The following is a 14,847-nucleotide window of genomic DNA, read 5'->3' on the forward strand; positions in this document are numbered from 1 at the left end:
TGGTCCAGGAAGAATGGATAAATCTGAATTTATCATTGGGGCGAGACTCATGAAGTGCCAAACTTTGGCTTTGGCTGCGGGAAGATTATTTTTTGTTTGCGTCATTAGATACCCTGTGCAAGCTCGATAGAGGCCAGTTCATTAAGTAGCCAGTGGAAGTATGTGCCCTAAGCCCTTTCGACAGAGAAATGGAAATTGAACTTTCTCTTTCCTTTTCTGCACTGCTCCAATTTGGCATAGCGCCTGGAGTTTTTACATAGCATTTTAAGACCATCTATTTGCTTTACGATCTATGGAGACTGGTATTTTTCTAATATCTGCTGTGACAGTTAAGAGTTTTAAGAGGAGTCCTTTTGGAGGTAACTGTAAAGGTTGTAGCACTTGATGGATGACACAAACCTTTTTGAGGATAAACAGGGGAGCTGCATTTTAAAAACCTTTTCTCTGCACTGCTCTTGGGCAATGAAGCTCCTGGAAGTGCTTACACACCCATATAAAACGCCATTTCTTTTTTCAGTGGTCTAGATAGACTCTGGATATATTTTGTGCCCTCTACTCCCAGAACTAAGAGCTTTAGAATACAGTCCCTGAATGAAAGTTGTAAAAGTTAGGGCACTCAAGTTTGTGTGGACAAACTTGTTCTAAGAGTGATTAATGTACCTGGATGTATCACTGGGGTGAGCCACGGGAACCGGCTAGAGAAGTGCCTGATGCAAGTTCATTAGAATCCAGACTGCAAGTTTTTTAGAATTCAGACCTCTAAGTAGCCACAGGAAGAATATATCATAAAACTTCTCGGGAGAAACAGGGGACTGTTTTTTCAGCCCCTTCTCTGAACTGCTATTAAGGAATGAAGTTTCTGGAAGCTCTTCAGCACTTGTATCATACCACCATTTTTCCTGTGATCTAGAGAGACTCTCATGTGTTTAATCTCCTCTGCTTCCAAAATTAGTGAATTAAAGGCCAAAACACAGGATGCTTTATGTGAGATCCAAAAACTTCTCCACAAGGAGAAACTGGGTTTTTGAGATTCCTTTTCTAATTGTGTGGTGCAGTGAACAAGGCTGGGGTCCATGCTCCATTGTGTTGCAACTTTTCTTACTTGTTCAATGTGAATGTTGTCTTTGTTGCCTGTTAAGTAGGAGTCCCTTTACTGGTCTTTCATTTTCTTTCAGGAGGAGTTCATTTATGAATAGATGTTTTTTTAGGACATTCTTGGGTGGAAGAAGAGTCAGGAGCTTCCACTTCTGCCATTTTGCTGACATCACTCCCTGCCTAGCTCTTTATTTTACCCCCAGGAAACTAGAGTATTGCAGGTATCGTTAAGTGCTCCTACACAAGCAAGAGAGAAACCTGTACTTTAGGATGCTCCCCCAAAAGCTAGGATGATAGATGCTTAGTTCACTCTTATCTTTCCTCTCTGAGGGAGAAGCAGTCAAAATATATTGGTCTCTGTTTACTTTAGGGGGTTGCAGGAGGCTTTGAACTGGTTTCTTGATTTCTCATAAAGGGAATTGTTTCCAGTATCGTCATTGAATCAGTGTGCCTGTGGGGGGAAGGGAGAGTGGTGGCTTCCTATACTGGCATCGTGCTGATGTCACTGCCCTCTTTCATCCTCAATATTGATCATTTTTTAAATCTTGATCATTGTTTTTACTTTGTCCTCAATTTTATTAATATTTTCAAAAACCAATTGTAATGCCTTTAAATTTTCTCCATTTGCTCTGTATTTTTTAGTTTTATTATGTTTTACTGATTTTAGCTTTGCTAATTTTCTCCCTTCTCTGTGTTTCTTTGTCCGTTTTCTCTTCTTCACTGATTTTACTGTTTTCTTCCTTCTGATGACTTCAGTTTTAATTTCACTTTTCTCAATCTTAGGGTGAAAAATGAAAACATGGTCATAAACTATCATACTTTGAAAATATAAAACTTTAAAGCTCTATTCTTTTAAGCACTGCTTTAGCTGTGTCCCAGAATGTTACACACGTGTGTGTGTGTATGTTCTATGTGTCGGGAGACAGAGAGAGAGAGTTCATTTTTATTTGATTTGAAATATTTTCTCATTTGTCTTGTGGTTTGTCTGTTGATGATTAATTATATGGAAGTTTATTGTTTAATTTCAAAATATTTGTTTTTTTCTAGATAAGTGATTTTTGCTGGTTTCTAATTTAATTCTCTTGTGAAAGAATACTGGGAAAATTTCAATATTTTGAAACACTCAGTTTTTTAATTGCTCAGCACATAGTCTACCTTGCTAACGGTTCTATTTACAAATAAAAATATGCATACACACTAAATGTAGAATTAGGCTATACTGGGTCACAATGTTCTTCAAATTTATTTGCCATGTCACAAAATGTTAAATAATCTCTTTCTTAATTGTTTACTATCAGCAAATACTTTAAATTAAATAATAATGATTGTGGTACACATTAAAATCAATGGGATACAGCTGAAACAGAGATGTATTTAGCATTATAACATGCATCAGAAAAAACAAATAAAAAAATAAAAGCAACAGGTACTACAATCTAGAAGGTAGACAGGAATGTACACCCAACAAAAATAGAAGGAAAGAATCATTCAAGCATAAATAGTTGACCATTAATCTTAAGAAAAATAAATTGATGAGAATGTTAAAAACATGTCAAAATATTGAAAAACAGAAATAAGCAAAATACTTTTGATAAATATGAAATACTTTATCATAAGCGAAAAAAGAAAACTCGACATTATCAATAACCTTTAATGAAGTTTTGTTCATCCAAACGTCTCCCTGAATTGATAACAAAATGTCAGACACTTAAAATCATTGCCATGATTTCCTATAGTACGATTACATAAAGCTTTAGGTGAAGTAGAGCATACACTATGATAGGAGAAAGGAAAATCAAGGGATTATAGAATGCTCCCAGATGCTTCTAAACTCCCCCGTCAGTCAAACAGGACATGCTTCATTTTCATATTATGAAAAAATGAGATATTTCTGATGTATCGCAGTTTAACAGGAGCTTAGCTGTGAGTTTACAAAGGTGTCTTTATATGTGATTATACAACTAAAGCCAGGCTGTGCAATGCATTAAACTGGGTGCATAACATCCATTTAAATATCCCTAAACAGTACAGGTAAGCTAGTAAATAAAAGCTCTAGGGGAGTTTCAAGTTTTAAATAGCACACTATAAATCACTAGTGATTATATTTAATGCTTATATTGGTCAAGTGTCAGTACCAAATTGATTATTAACTACATATAATTCTACTTCTGGCTAATCAGATTCCATTGGCAGAAAATTTGTGAGTGTTTTAATCCAATCCTGATACATTTGATTATAGATATCAATTTTTATTTAATGCATGTAATTAAGAGTGTGTAATTCCATTAAAACATTCTAAAGGCTCAAAATAATTAAAATCAATATTACATAAATTATGCAAATTTATTAAACAAAGAATATATGAAAAAACTACAAGAAAGTCTATGAGAATACAAGCCAAAAGTTCTATTGTTTAATGTAACTGTTACACAGCTGAAAAGTATAATATTTGCATACAAAAACATCATAATTAATATGTGATAATTTATGAAACAGTTATTGATCTTTCTATTTATTCTATTTTAATCATATAAATTATTTTTCATCAAAAATTCTAATTTTAATATTTTTATTTTTTATTTTTTATTATAACATTAATTATATTTTTAATATTTTTTAGTGGCACAAATACAATTATGCCCACCTCCACCTCAGATTCCCAATTCTCACAATATGACAACCACACTGAATTATCGGGATGGAGAAAAAGTATCTGTTCTTTGCCAAGAAAATTATCTAATTCAGGAAGGAGAAGAAATTACATGCAAAGATGGAAGATGGCAGTCAATACCACTCTGTGTTGGTCAGTAGTGTATAATTTGTTTTACATAATTCTTTCAAATGAGGTTAATATTCTCTTGTGCTTCGTGTAAACAAGAGAGAAGTTCTTTCTCTGTGTCTATTACTTTATCCTGACAAAATAAATTAGGACCTAGGCACATTAATCAATCACCACTCTTTCAGTTTTTTGAACAAAATACAGCCAAAATCTTTGGAATATTATGTAAATGTCAGATAACATTTCCATTCATGCATATTTTAATCCTTGTGATGAACAAGACATGAATGAAGATGATTATTGAACAAGAGGATGGTAACATAGATATGGTGGAGGAATATATCTTTGCGAGTTTCTAATATGTTTTTGTTTTTAAATAATTTTATTTGTTCAAATTATACTCACTTTAAAATCCGAAATAGTATTTAGTTTTATATTTCAATTTAAGTATTTTATTTGTTTTTAACCCTTTGATTTTCATTCTTCATTTAGAAAAAATTCCATGTTCACAACCACCTCAGATAGAACACGGAACCATTAATTCATCCAGGTCTTCACAAGAAAGTTATGCACATGGGACTAAATTGAGTTATACTTGTGAGGGTGGTTTCAGGATATCTGAAGAAAATGAAACAACATGCTACATGGGAAAATGGAGTTCTCCACCTCAGTGTGAAGGTTAGGCCAATATGAATACTCAATTTCTGTTTATAGTAGAATTCATAAAAATAATCTCTTGTTATCAAAGTGAGGGGAATAATTGAGATTACTGCATATATAAAATAATTTATATATTATACCATTAAAATACTTTTTGCATGATTGAATCTATTCTATTTATGTTAATTTTATTTGTTCATGATAGAGTCACTTTGTATTCTGGCATTAAAAAATAATATCTAGTGAAATTAAACCTATCTGTATTATTCTCATGCTGCCATAAAGAACTGCCCAATACTGGATAATTTATACATACAAAAAAAGGTTTAATTGGCTCACTGTTCTGCATGGCTGAGGAGGTCTTAGGAAACTTACAATCATGGTGGAGGGAGAAGCAAACGCATGAAGACAGGAAGGAGAAGTTCTGACCAAAGGGAAAAGGCCCTTATAAAACCATTAGATCTCATGAAAACACACTCACTATCCTGAGAACAGAAGCATGGGGATAACTGCCCCCATTATTCAACTACTTCCTACTGAGTCCCTCCCACAAAACATGGAGATTATGGGAAGTACAATTCAAATTGTTATTTGGTTGGAGATACAGTCAAATCCTATCATTCCACCATGGCCTATCCCAAGTCTATGTCCTCACAATTCAAAACACAATCATGCCTTCCCAACAGTCCTCCAAATCTTAACTTATTCCAGCATTAACTCAAAAGTTCATATCCAAAGTCTCATCTGAGACAAGGCAAGTCCTCTCTGCTTATGAGCCTGTAAAATCAAAAGCAAGTTGGTTATTTCCTAGACACAATGGGGGTACAGGGATTGGGTAAATGCTTCCATTCCAAAAGGGAGGAAATGGCTGAAACAAAGTGGCTATATGCTTGATGGAAGTCTGAAATTTAATAGGGCAGTCATTAAACCTTAAATTTCCAAGATTATCTCCTTTGACTCCATGTCTCACATTCAGGTCATGCTGATGCAAGAGATGGGCTCCCACAGCCTTGTGCAGATGTGGCTTTGTCCCCCTCCTGGTTGCTTTCATGGGCTGGCATTGAGTGTCTGTGGCTTTTCCAGGAACATAGTGCAAGCTATTGATGGATCTACCATTCTGGGGCTTCAATGATTGTGGTCCTGTTCTCACAGCTCCACAAGGCAGTGCCTCAGTGGGGACTCTATGTGAGGGCTCTGACCCCACATTTCCTTTCCTCAATGGCCTAGCAGAGGTTCTCCATGTGGGCTCCCCCCTGCAGCAAACTTCTGCCTGGACATCCAGGTATTTTCATATATCCTCTGCAACCTAGTTGTAGGTTCCCAAACCTCAATTCTTGACTTGTGTGCACCCACAGGCCCAAGACTACATGTAATCCACCAAGGCTTGGGGTTTCACCCTTTGAGGCAATGGACCAAGCTGTTTGTTGGCCCCTTTTAGCCACAGCTGGAGCTGAAGCAGCTGGGATACAGTCCTGAGGCTGCATAGAGCAGCAGGGACCTGATCCAGGTCCATCAAACCATTTTTCCCTCCTGGGCTTCTGGGCCTGTGATGGGTGGGGGTGTCATGAAGGCCTCTGACATGCCCCGGAGATATATTCCCCATTGTCTTGGTGATTAACTTTGGCTCCTTATTATTTTTGCAAATTTCTGCAGCAGGCTTGAATTTCTCCCCAGAAAAATGAAGTTTTATTTTCTATTGCATTTACAAGCTGCACATTTTCCAAACTTTTATGCTCTGCTTCCTCTTGAGCTCTTTGCCACTTAGAAGTTTATTCTGCCAGATACCCTAAATCATCTCTCTCAAGTTCAAAGTTCCACAGATCTCTAAGGCAGGGCAATATGCCACCAGTCTCTTTGCATAGCAGGAGTGACCTTTACTCCAGTTTCAAACAAGTTCCTCACCTCATCTTCATCTGTGACCACCCCATCCTGGACTTCATTGTCCATATCACTGTGAGTATTTTGGTCAAAGCCATTCAACAAGCCTCTAGGAAGTGCCAAACTTTCCCACATCTTGTCTTCTGAGCCGTCCAACTCCCTAGGAAGTTCCAAACATTTTAACATTCTCCTGTCTTCTTCTGACCCCTCCAAATGGTTCTAACCCCTGCCTGTTATCCAGTTCCAAAGCTGCTTCCACATTTTTGGTTATCTTTACAGCAGCACCCTACTCTCTGCAGTACCAATTTACTGTATTAGTCTGTTATCATGCTGCTATAAAGAACTACCCAAGACTGCATAATTTATAAAGGAAAGAGGTGTAATTGACTCACAATTCCACATGGCTGGGAGGCCTCAGGAAACTTACAACCCTGGTGGAAGGGTAAGCAAACATGTCCTTCTTCACATGATGACAGGAAGGAGAAGTGCAAAGCAAAGACAGAAAAGCTCCTTATAAAACCATCAGATCTCAGGAGAACTCACGCAGTATCATGAGAACAGCAGCAGAGGAAAAATCGCCCTCATGATTCAATTTTCTCCCACCAGGTCCCATCCACAACACGTGAGGATTATGGCAATTGCAATTCACGATGAGATTTGGGTGGGGACACAGCTAAACCTGTTCTGCAAGTTGTCATGTTTGCTTTGCCACTATGTTTTAAAACTTCTTTTACATTCTTCCCACAATGCCCCTTCTTATTTCCTACAATATATTATGTTTTACCTGGAATCGTTAACTCTCAATGTGTATCTTATTATCACTAGTAAGTTTACAGAGGCATTGTTTACCAGGCATAGATGATCTCTTTCTGAAATGTATTGCTATTTTTAGTTTCAAGTCCTTCTTCAGTTGGTGACAGTCCGATAGACAGACAGACACCAGAAGGCTAGTTTTAGGAAACATTTGTGTTACTTCTCTGTGATGTCATAGTAGCTCCTGTATTGTTTATTTTCAAATAAAACTACTTAATATTAAAACAGGCATATAAAATTAAATTTATGAGTTAGTGAAACCTGAATTCATTCTTTTTTTTTTAGGCCTTCCTTGTAAATCTCCACCTGAGATTTCTCATGGTGTTGTAGCTCACATGTCAGACAGTTATCAGTATGGAGAAGAAGTTACGTACAAATGTTTTGAAGGTTTTGGAATTGATGGGCCTGCAATTGCAAAATGCTTAGGAGAAAAATGGTCTCACCCTCCATCATGCATAAGTATGGTGCATTGAATTTTATTATATGTATGATAAATATTCTTCATTCAAAGTGTAAGTGGTACCAATAAGAAAGTAAACAGGGACTCTAGAAATTCATAAGGTTTTCTTGAATATTCTGGACTGCTGTGGGAAATTATAGCTGTAGTAATTAAAACATTTGACATTATAAGCCAAATTAGTTCATTTTCACATCATCTTGTGTGAACTTTAAGCATCCTCTGATGTATATTCTCAGACTTCTCATCTCTGTTCTTAGGGCACAGCTGCCTCTACTCATCAATCTCCACATTATTCAATCTTCTGTCAGTTTATCAACAATCTGCCTATAAGTACATTTTCTGAAATATTTTAAAAAATCATTATAAGTATTTCACATTTGATAGAAGCAAAAAATTTGGAAATGCACACACAATATAGGTGGTGTATTATTCCGTTTTCACACTGCTGTAAAGACCTTCCTGAGACTGGGTAATTTATAAAAGAAAAAATTTTAATTGATCACAGTTCCTCATGACTGAGGAGGTGTCATGAAACTTACCATTACCGCTGAAGGGGAAGCAGGCACCTTCTTCACAAGGTGGCAGGAGAGAGAGGAGTGAGTGAAGGAGGAACTTCTAAACAGTTATTAAATCATCATATCTTGTGAGAACTCACTCACCATCGTGAGAACAGCATGTGGGAAACTGCCACCATGATCCAATCACTTCCCACCAGGTCTCTCTCTCAACACCTGGAGATTATTATTCAAGATGAGATTTGGGTGAGGACACAAAGCCTAACCATATCAGGTGGCAAGTATGGACAAAAATAATGTGAACAAAAAAATGTGTAATCTCAATTGCTACGGCTACCAATATTTCTTCAGTCTTCTAATATCATTTCTATCTTGTATTTTTAATAGATTTAGAAGAATTTAATGTAATTAAGACAAAATGGCTAATATATTTTCTCAAGTTATAAGAAAAATGTTGTACAGTATTCATTGATTCTATATATCGCTATTTTAGAATCCATTACATGTATTGTATGTAACCTATTTTTAAAGATTTGCGGAACAAATACATATTTTTCCTATTTCAGAAACAGATTGTCTCAGTTTACCTAGCTTTGAAAATGCCATACCCATGGGAGAGAAGAAGGATGTGTATAAGGCGGGTGAGCAAGTGACTTACACTTGTGCAACATATTACAAAATGGATGGAGCCAGTAATGTAACATGCATTAATAGCAGATGGACAGGAAGGCCAACATGCAGAGGTACTTTGGTGAATTTTCAAAATTTATTTATATAATGTGTGGGCCCAGCCCAGTGGCTGGCGCCTGTAATCCCAGCACTTTGGGAGGCCGAGGTGGGCGGATCACTTGAGGTCAGGAGTTCGAGACCAGCCTGGCCAACATGGTGAAAACCCGTCTCTACTAAAAATACAAAAAAATAGTGGGGCATGGTGACATGCATCTGAAGTCCCAGCTACTTGGGAGACTGAGGCAGGAGAATCGCTTGAACCAGGGAGATGAAGATTGAAGTGGGCCAAGATCGTGCCACTGCACTCCACCCAGGGTGACAGAGTGAGATTCCGTCTCAAAAAAATAAATAAACCTGAAATAAATAAATATATAAGTACAATTTATTTATATAGAGTGTTTTGGGAATAAAATATAGAATTGTCTCTAACATCATTAAAATGGACATAAATTAAGTTTTTACGGCAGGACAAAGTAGTCGTATGCCTAAAAATAAAAAGATGGAACTGAGTATTTGATGATTAATCTTAGCTCAATAGTTCTCAAAGTGTGGTCGCTAAACCGGTAGCATCATCATCTTCTTGGAGATTGTTTGAAATGAAAATAAAATTCCGTAAGCTCATTCTAGACATCCAGAATCAAAAGTCTCAAAGTAAAACCCTGAAACTGTTTTACCAACACCTCCAGGGAATTCTATTTACACTTCCGAGTGAGAAGCATTGCTATAGTCTATTCACTACACATGGATATGAAACTCTCTGATGAATTTTGCATTGTTCAGCATAATATCCTTAATCATTGGCAATTAAATTATCTGAGGTTATTTTTATTATTATAGGCTTTTTAAAAAAATTTTTCCACATCTCCAATTTGGATCCTTTGATTAACCATTCTTCCTCCTTTTAACTTGGGTAATTTTCAAAATGTGTTTTTAATTCTTTGCTTATTCGCTAAGAAAATGCCTATTTGAGTTTATTTTTAAGAGGCTAAAATGTATAAGCAGGATGATTGCAAACAAAAATCTGGTATCACATAATCTATTTATGCTGACTTTTTGCATTTTATAAATTAATGTTAAATAAATAGAACTGGTAATATTTGTTTACTCAAACTCAAAGAGAGATATCCAGGAAAACTTTCGTTTACACTGGCTTCCAGAAGGGAAAAATAAAGGTCTATCAGTGTTCTAGCGAAGGATGAAGAAGAAATTTAAAACATCAACGCTTGTACCTTACAAAAAATAGTTTCATGTCTTTTCCTCAATATTACATTTAAATTTATTAAAATCAACAAAATATTTGATGAGATTGTCTACTTATTTTAAATTCGTCTTGAAATATATTTGTAACTGTTATCAGTTGATTTGCTACTCAAAATGAACACTAGGTGGAACCACTTCTTTTTTTTCTATTCAGACACCTCCTGTGTGAATCCGCCCACAGTACAAAATGCTTATATAGTGTCGAGACAGATGAGTAAATATCCATCTGGTGAGAGAGTACGTTATCAATGTAGGAGCCCTTATGAAATGTTTGGGGATGAAGAAGTGATGTGTTTAAATGGAAACTGGACGGAACCACCTCAATGCAAAGGTAGAGTATTATATTTCTTTTAACATTTTGGGGGAGTATAGCAGGGTTAAAATATGTTGATTTAAACAAAATGAAGTCATTTTTATTAATAGATTTTTCAAATGCAAATAAAATGACTGATGGTGCTTAAAATTCAATTCTTCCTGTGAACAGAACACAAGTAATAGGGTATATTATTTTCCAGAAAGATTCGACCAAATTGAGAGTTGGAACCTGAAAAACAATACTTTTTAAGCATTACAACACTTAGTTCCTTCTCAGGAATACGTGTAATAAAAGATACATTATGTGCATTTGACAGCCATAAGTGATGTGCATTCTAAGATATGGAATAGGCAGTTGAAGAGAGATCATAGACTGTGATATAAATGTGGGCATCTTCAGTATATGGATTATATTTAAAGGTGTGTGACTGACTGTATTTATAAAAAGAAGTCCGAGCACATAGTCCTGGGTCATTCTAATATAAAGAGATGAAATAAGGGAAACCAAAAAAGGAAATTGTATCTTACTCACCTTTATGTTTTAAAATTAATGTTTTTCTGTATTTTTTTTTTCACTATTTTACTTAGACTCTACCTATGTTTATTATTGAAGTGAGTTTTTGTAGACAGCATATAGTTGGGTCATGTTTACATATCCATTCATCCTTTCATGGCCTGTTAACTGGTGCACTTGGACCATTTACACTTAAAATAATTATTGATATATAGGACTTAAATCTCTGTCGTTTATTTGTTTCTGCCTGTTTCCTCTGGGTTTCAGTCCTATTTCCCTATTCCTCCATTCCCTGTAGGGAAATTATTAAGGAGATTAATTTCGATTCATATGTATTGTTTTCCATTCTATCTCTTTGTATAGCTTTTCTCCTCCTTTTAAAAAGTTGTTGCTCTAGCTAATACTATATATGTAATAATATATTACTGTCTACTGGCACTGACATTTAAATCTACAACTGGAATATGGAAACCTTACTTTCATGTAGATCCATTTACACTCTCCACGTTGTAAGTATAAATGCCACTAGTATTTTCTCTGCATACATTGAGCTCCATATTAAACTCACTTGCTTCAAATATCGAACATAATTGAAAAAACTTATGAGGAAAAAGATATCCTGTTATATTGACTCCTCTGTTTATCCATTCTATTTTTCTATTTTTTCAGGATCCTAAAGTCTCAAGCTCTTTCTTTTATCTGTTTTATTTTAATTTGAAGAATTCCTTTAGTTAATCTTTAGGCATAGGTCTACTGGAGACAAATTCCCTTGGTATCCCTTTCTCTGAGAATGTCTGTATTGATCCCCTTACTTGTAAAAGATCGTGTCACTGGATATCAAATTTGGAGTTGACAGTTCTTTGAACACTTGAAAACCGTGCCACATGGTTATAGATGAAAAACTCAGCATCATTTGAATTGTTGATCCCCTCGAGGAAAAGCATAGTTTTTGTCTAGTTGCTTTCAAGGTATTTTTTTCTTTTTTTAAAGTAGTTTTATTTTAATGTATATTGGTATAAATTCCAATGTTTTTATCCTCTTTGGAGTTCACTCAGCTTCTTAAATATAAGTTTATACCTTATGGTCAAAATGGGAAGTTTTCAGGCATCATTTTATTTATTCATTTTTCCAGCCCAATATCCTTTCTCTTCTTTTTCTGCATCGGCATTATTTGTTGTTGTATTTTTCTGAATGTCTCAGTTCAGTTTTTTGTTTTCAGTTTATTTTCAGAGTGGGTAATTTATATTGCTGTATGTTCAAGTTCATGGATTTATTTGTCTGTCAGCTCCCCATGTATTATTAAGTATATTCAGTGTTTTTAAAAAATTTTTGTCATACTTTTCCATTTTATAATTCCTATGGGATTTTTCGAATATGAAATAAGAAACTTCCTTTGTCATAGTTTTCTATGTTTAGCATGTATTCATTCGGAAAGACATTTCTTAATCCTGGTCTACCATAAGCAGCAATATTTGTTAATGTTTTATGTGTTCTTTCAGTACGGAGAAAAGAACTTAAATATATTACTTTCAGTTTAAAGGGTTAAAATTTCTTCCAGGACTCATTTCTTTCACCAGAAATCACAAAACTGTTGATATTATATACAGTGCTGTGTTTGCGTTTGCCTTATTTGAACTTGTATTTTGATTTGCTCTCACAACAAATCAAGTGATGAAATGATGTTTTTTAGATTCTACAGGAAAATGTGGGCCCCCTCCACCTATTGACAATGGGGACATTACTTCATTCCCGTTGTCAGTATATGCTCCAGCTTCATCAGTTGAGTACCAATGCCAGAACTTGTATCAACTTGAGGGTAACAAGCGAATAACATGTAGAAATGGACAATGGTCAGAACCACCAAAATGCTTACGTAAGTACTTTAATATTCACGTGGCTGGAAAAATCTCTGTGATGAGTCTGATATTTCACTGTTTGTAACAAAATACTCACAGATTATTGAACAACCATTCTGCTGAATGCTTGCCTACCAAATATTTCTGTCAGAAAGTAAAGTTTAGAAATTTTTCTCTTTAGGGCTGGGTGCGGTGGCTCACACCTGTAATCCCAGCACTTTGGGAGGCTGAGGCGGGCAGATCACGAGGTCAGGAGATTGAGGACCATCCTGGCTAACACGGTGAAACCCCGTCTCTACTAAAAATACAAAATAATAATAATAACCGGCATGGTGACGGGCACCTGTAGTCCCAGCTAGTCGGGAGTCTGAGGCAGGAAAATGGCGGGAACCCGGGAGGCGGAGGTTGCAGTGAGCCGAGTTCGCGCCACTGCACTCCAGCCTGGGTGACAAAGCGAGACTCCGTCTCAATAAAAACAACAAAAAAAGTAATTTTTCTCTTTATATTTATATTTTATTTTAAAGCATTTAGTTGACAAATAAAAATATATTTTGATGTTTGACAATATGTTGTTTTGATATATTTATGCTACAAAGATTACCACAAATTAATTAGCACATTCTTCATCACCTATGCTTAGCATTGGGTGTAGGTGGGTGTGTGAGTATGTGTGTGTGTGTTTGTGGTGAGGACACTTAAAATCTGCTTTCTTACCAATTTTCAAATAAACAATACAATATTATTAGCTCTAAATATCACTAGATCTCTATGTTTGATTCCAAGTTCTTATTCATATTATAGCTGAAAGTTTGTACTCTTTGACCAATATCTTAATCAAAAGCAGCAATGATAAGTTCTAAAACGCAGGGATCCTAAAATGACAACTGATGTAATGAATCATTGATAATACACCCCTAATTCTCATACATTAAACATCGAACCTCATTTTCACATCGATTACCATTCTAAGTTTATTCAAATCAATATGATGTTTCTACATAGTTGGTTTGGATAGTGTTTTGAGAAATAATTCCTGAACCATCATATAACATTCTACTTGAAAACCTGAAAGTCTATGAAGATTTGCATACTACTTAATGTTTTATGTTTACTGTTTTTTATTTTCAGATCCGTGTGTAATATCCCGAGAAATTATGGAAAATTATAACATAGCATTAAGGTGGACAGCCAAACAGAAGCTTTATTCGAGAACAGGTGAATCAGTTGAATTTGTGTGTAAACGGGGATATCGTCTTTCATCACGTTCTCACACATTGCGAACAACATGTTGGGATGGGAAACTGGAGTATCCAACTTGTGCAAAAAGATAGAATCAATCATAAAGTGCACACCTTTATTCAGAACTTTAGTATTAAATCAGTTCTCAATTTCATTTTTTATGTATTGTTTTACTCCTTTTTATTCATACGTAAAATTTTGGATTAATTTGTGAAAATGTAATTATAAGCTGAGACCGGTGGCTCTCTTCTTAAAAGCACCATATTAAATCCTGGAAAACTAACGGTTGTGTCCAGTTCATAAAATGTTTGTGGCAAGAAATTAGACGCAATTTTTCAGACTTTATTTCTGTTCATCACTCTTAAATCTCCCAAAGCTTTCTCCACAGCTTCTGAGGCTCACTGTTTTACAGAAAATGGAAAGCATATCATTGTCTCTGATTTCAAAATTATATCACTTTACAAAGATGTAAAAACCAAGTCAAGTCTTAACTCATGTTGGTAATGAGATATAAGTAATTACTATTTATCAATACATAAATGCACCAAAAGTGATATCAATACATAAATGCACCAAAACTGATGAAATGTAGATACTTCTACAAGATGTCAATCTAGCACACGTGATAATGCAAACTAATCATAAAGAGGAGTTAAAACGTAATAGGGTATATAAATATTACAACATAAACATACAAAAAATAAAAACACAGTATCAGTTATAACATGCTCACT

At 35.3% G+C, this 14,847-nt stretch overlaps 1 protein-coding gene across 1 annotated transcript in view, besides 1 other annotated feature; it reads left to right on the top strand.

The window, feature by feature from the left end:
- CFH (complement factor H) overlaps positions 1 to 14,396 on the top strand; it is a 95,462-nt gene extending 81,066 nt beyond the window's left edge. The window contains exons 16-22 of the mRNA NM_000186.4: positions 3,716 to 3,898; positions 4,367 to 4,552; positions 7,511 to 7,684; positions 8,767 to 8,943; positions 10,344 to 10,520; positions 12,709 to 12,891; positions 14,003 to 14,396. Of these exons, the coding sequence (NP_000177.2) occupies positions 3,716 to 3,898; positions 4,367 to 4,552; positions 7,511 to 7,684; positions 8,767 to 8,943; positions 10,344 to 10,520; positions 12,709 to 12,891; positions 14,003 to 14,205 (1,283 nt within the window). The 3' untranslated portion in view covers positions 14,206 to 14,396. The remainder of the gene's footprint in view (positions 1 to 3,715; positions 3,899 to 4,366; positions 4,553 to 7,510; positions 7,685 to 8,766; positions 8,944 to 10,343; positions 10,521 to 12,708; positions 12,892 to 14,002) is intronic.
- Positions 5,658 to 5,858: a silencer, noted in NCBI's record as "peak638 fragment used in MPRA reporter construct". NCBI's record gives its function as "represses an SCP1 promoter by STARR-seq MPRAs in K562 erythroleukemia cells {active_cell/tissue: K562}" and the evidence as "EXISTENCE:reporter gene assay evidence [ECO:0000049][PMID:32103011]".

Source organism: Homo sapiens, chromosome 1 (genome assembly GCF_000001405.40).
Source record: "Homo sapiens chromosome 1, GRCh38.p14 Primary Assembly".
Classification (NCBI taxonomy): Eukaryota; Metazoa; Chordata; class Mammalia; order Primates; family Hominidae; genus Homo; species Homo sapiens.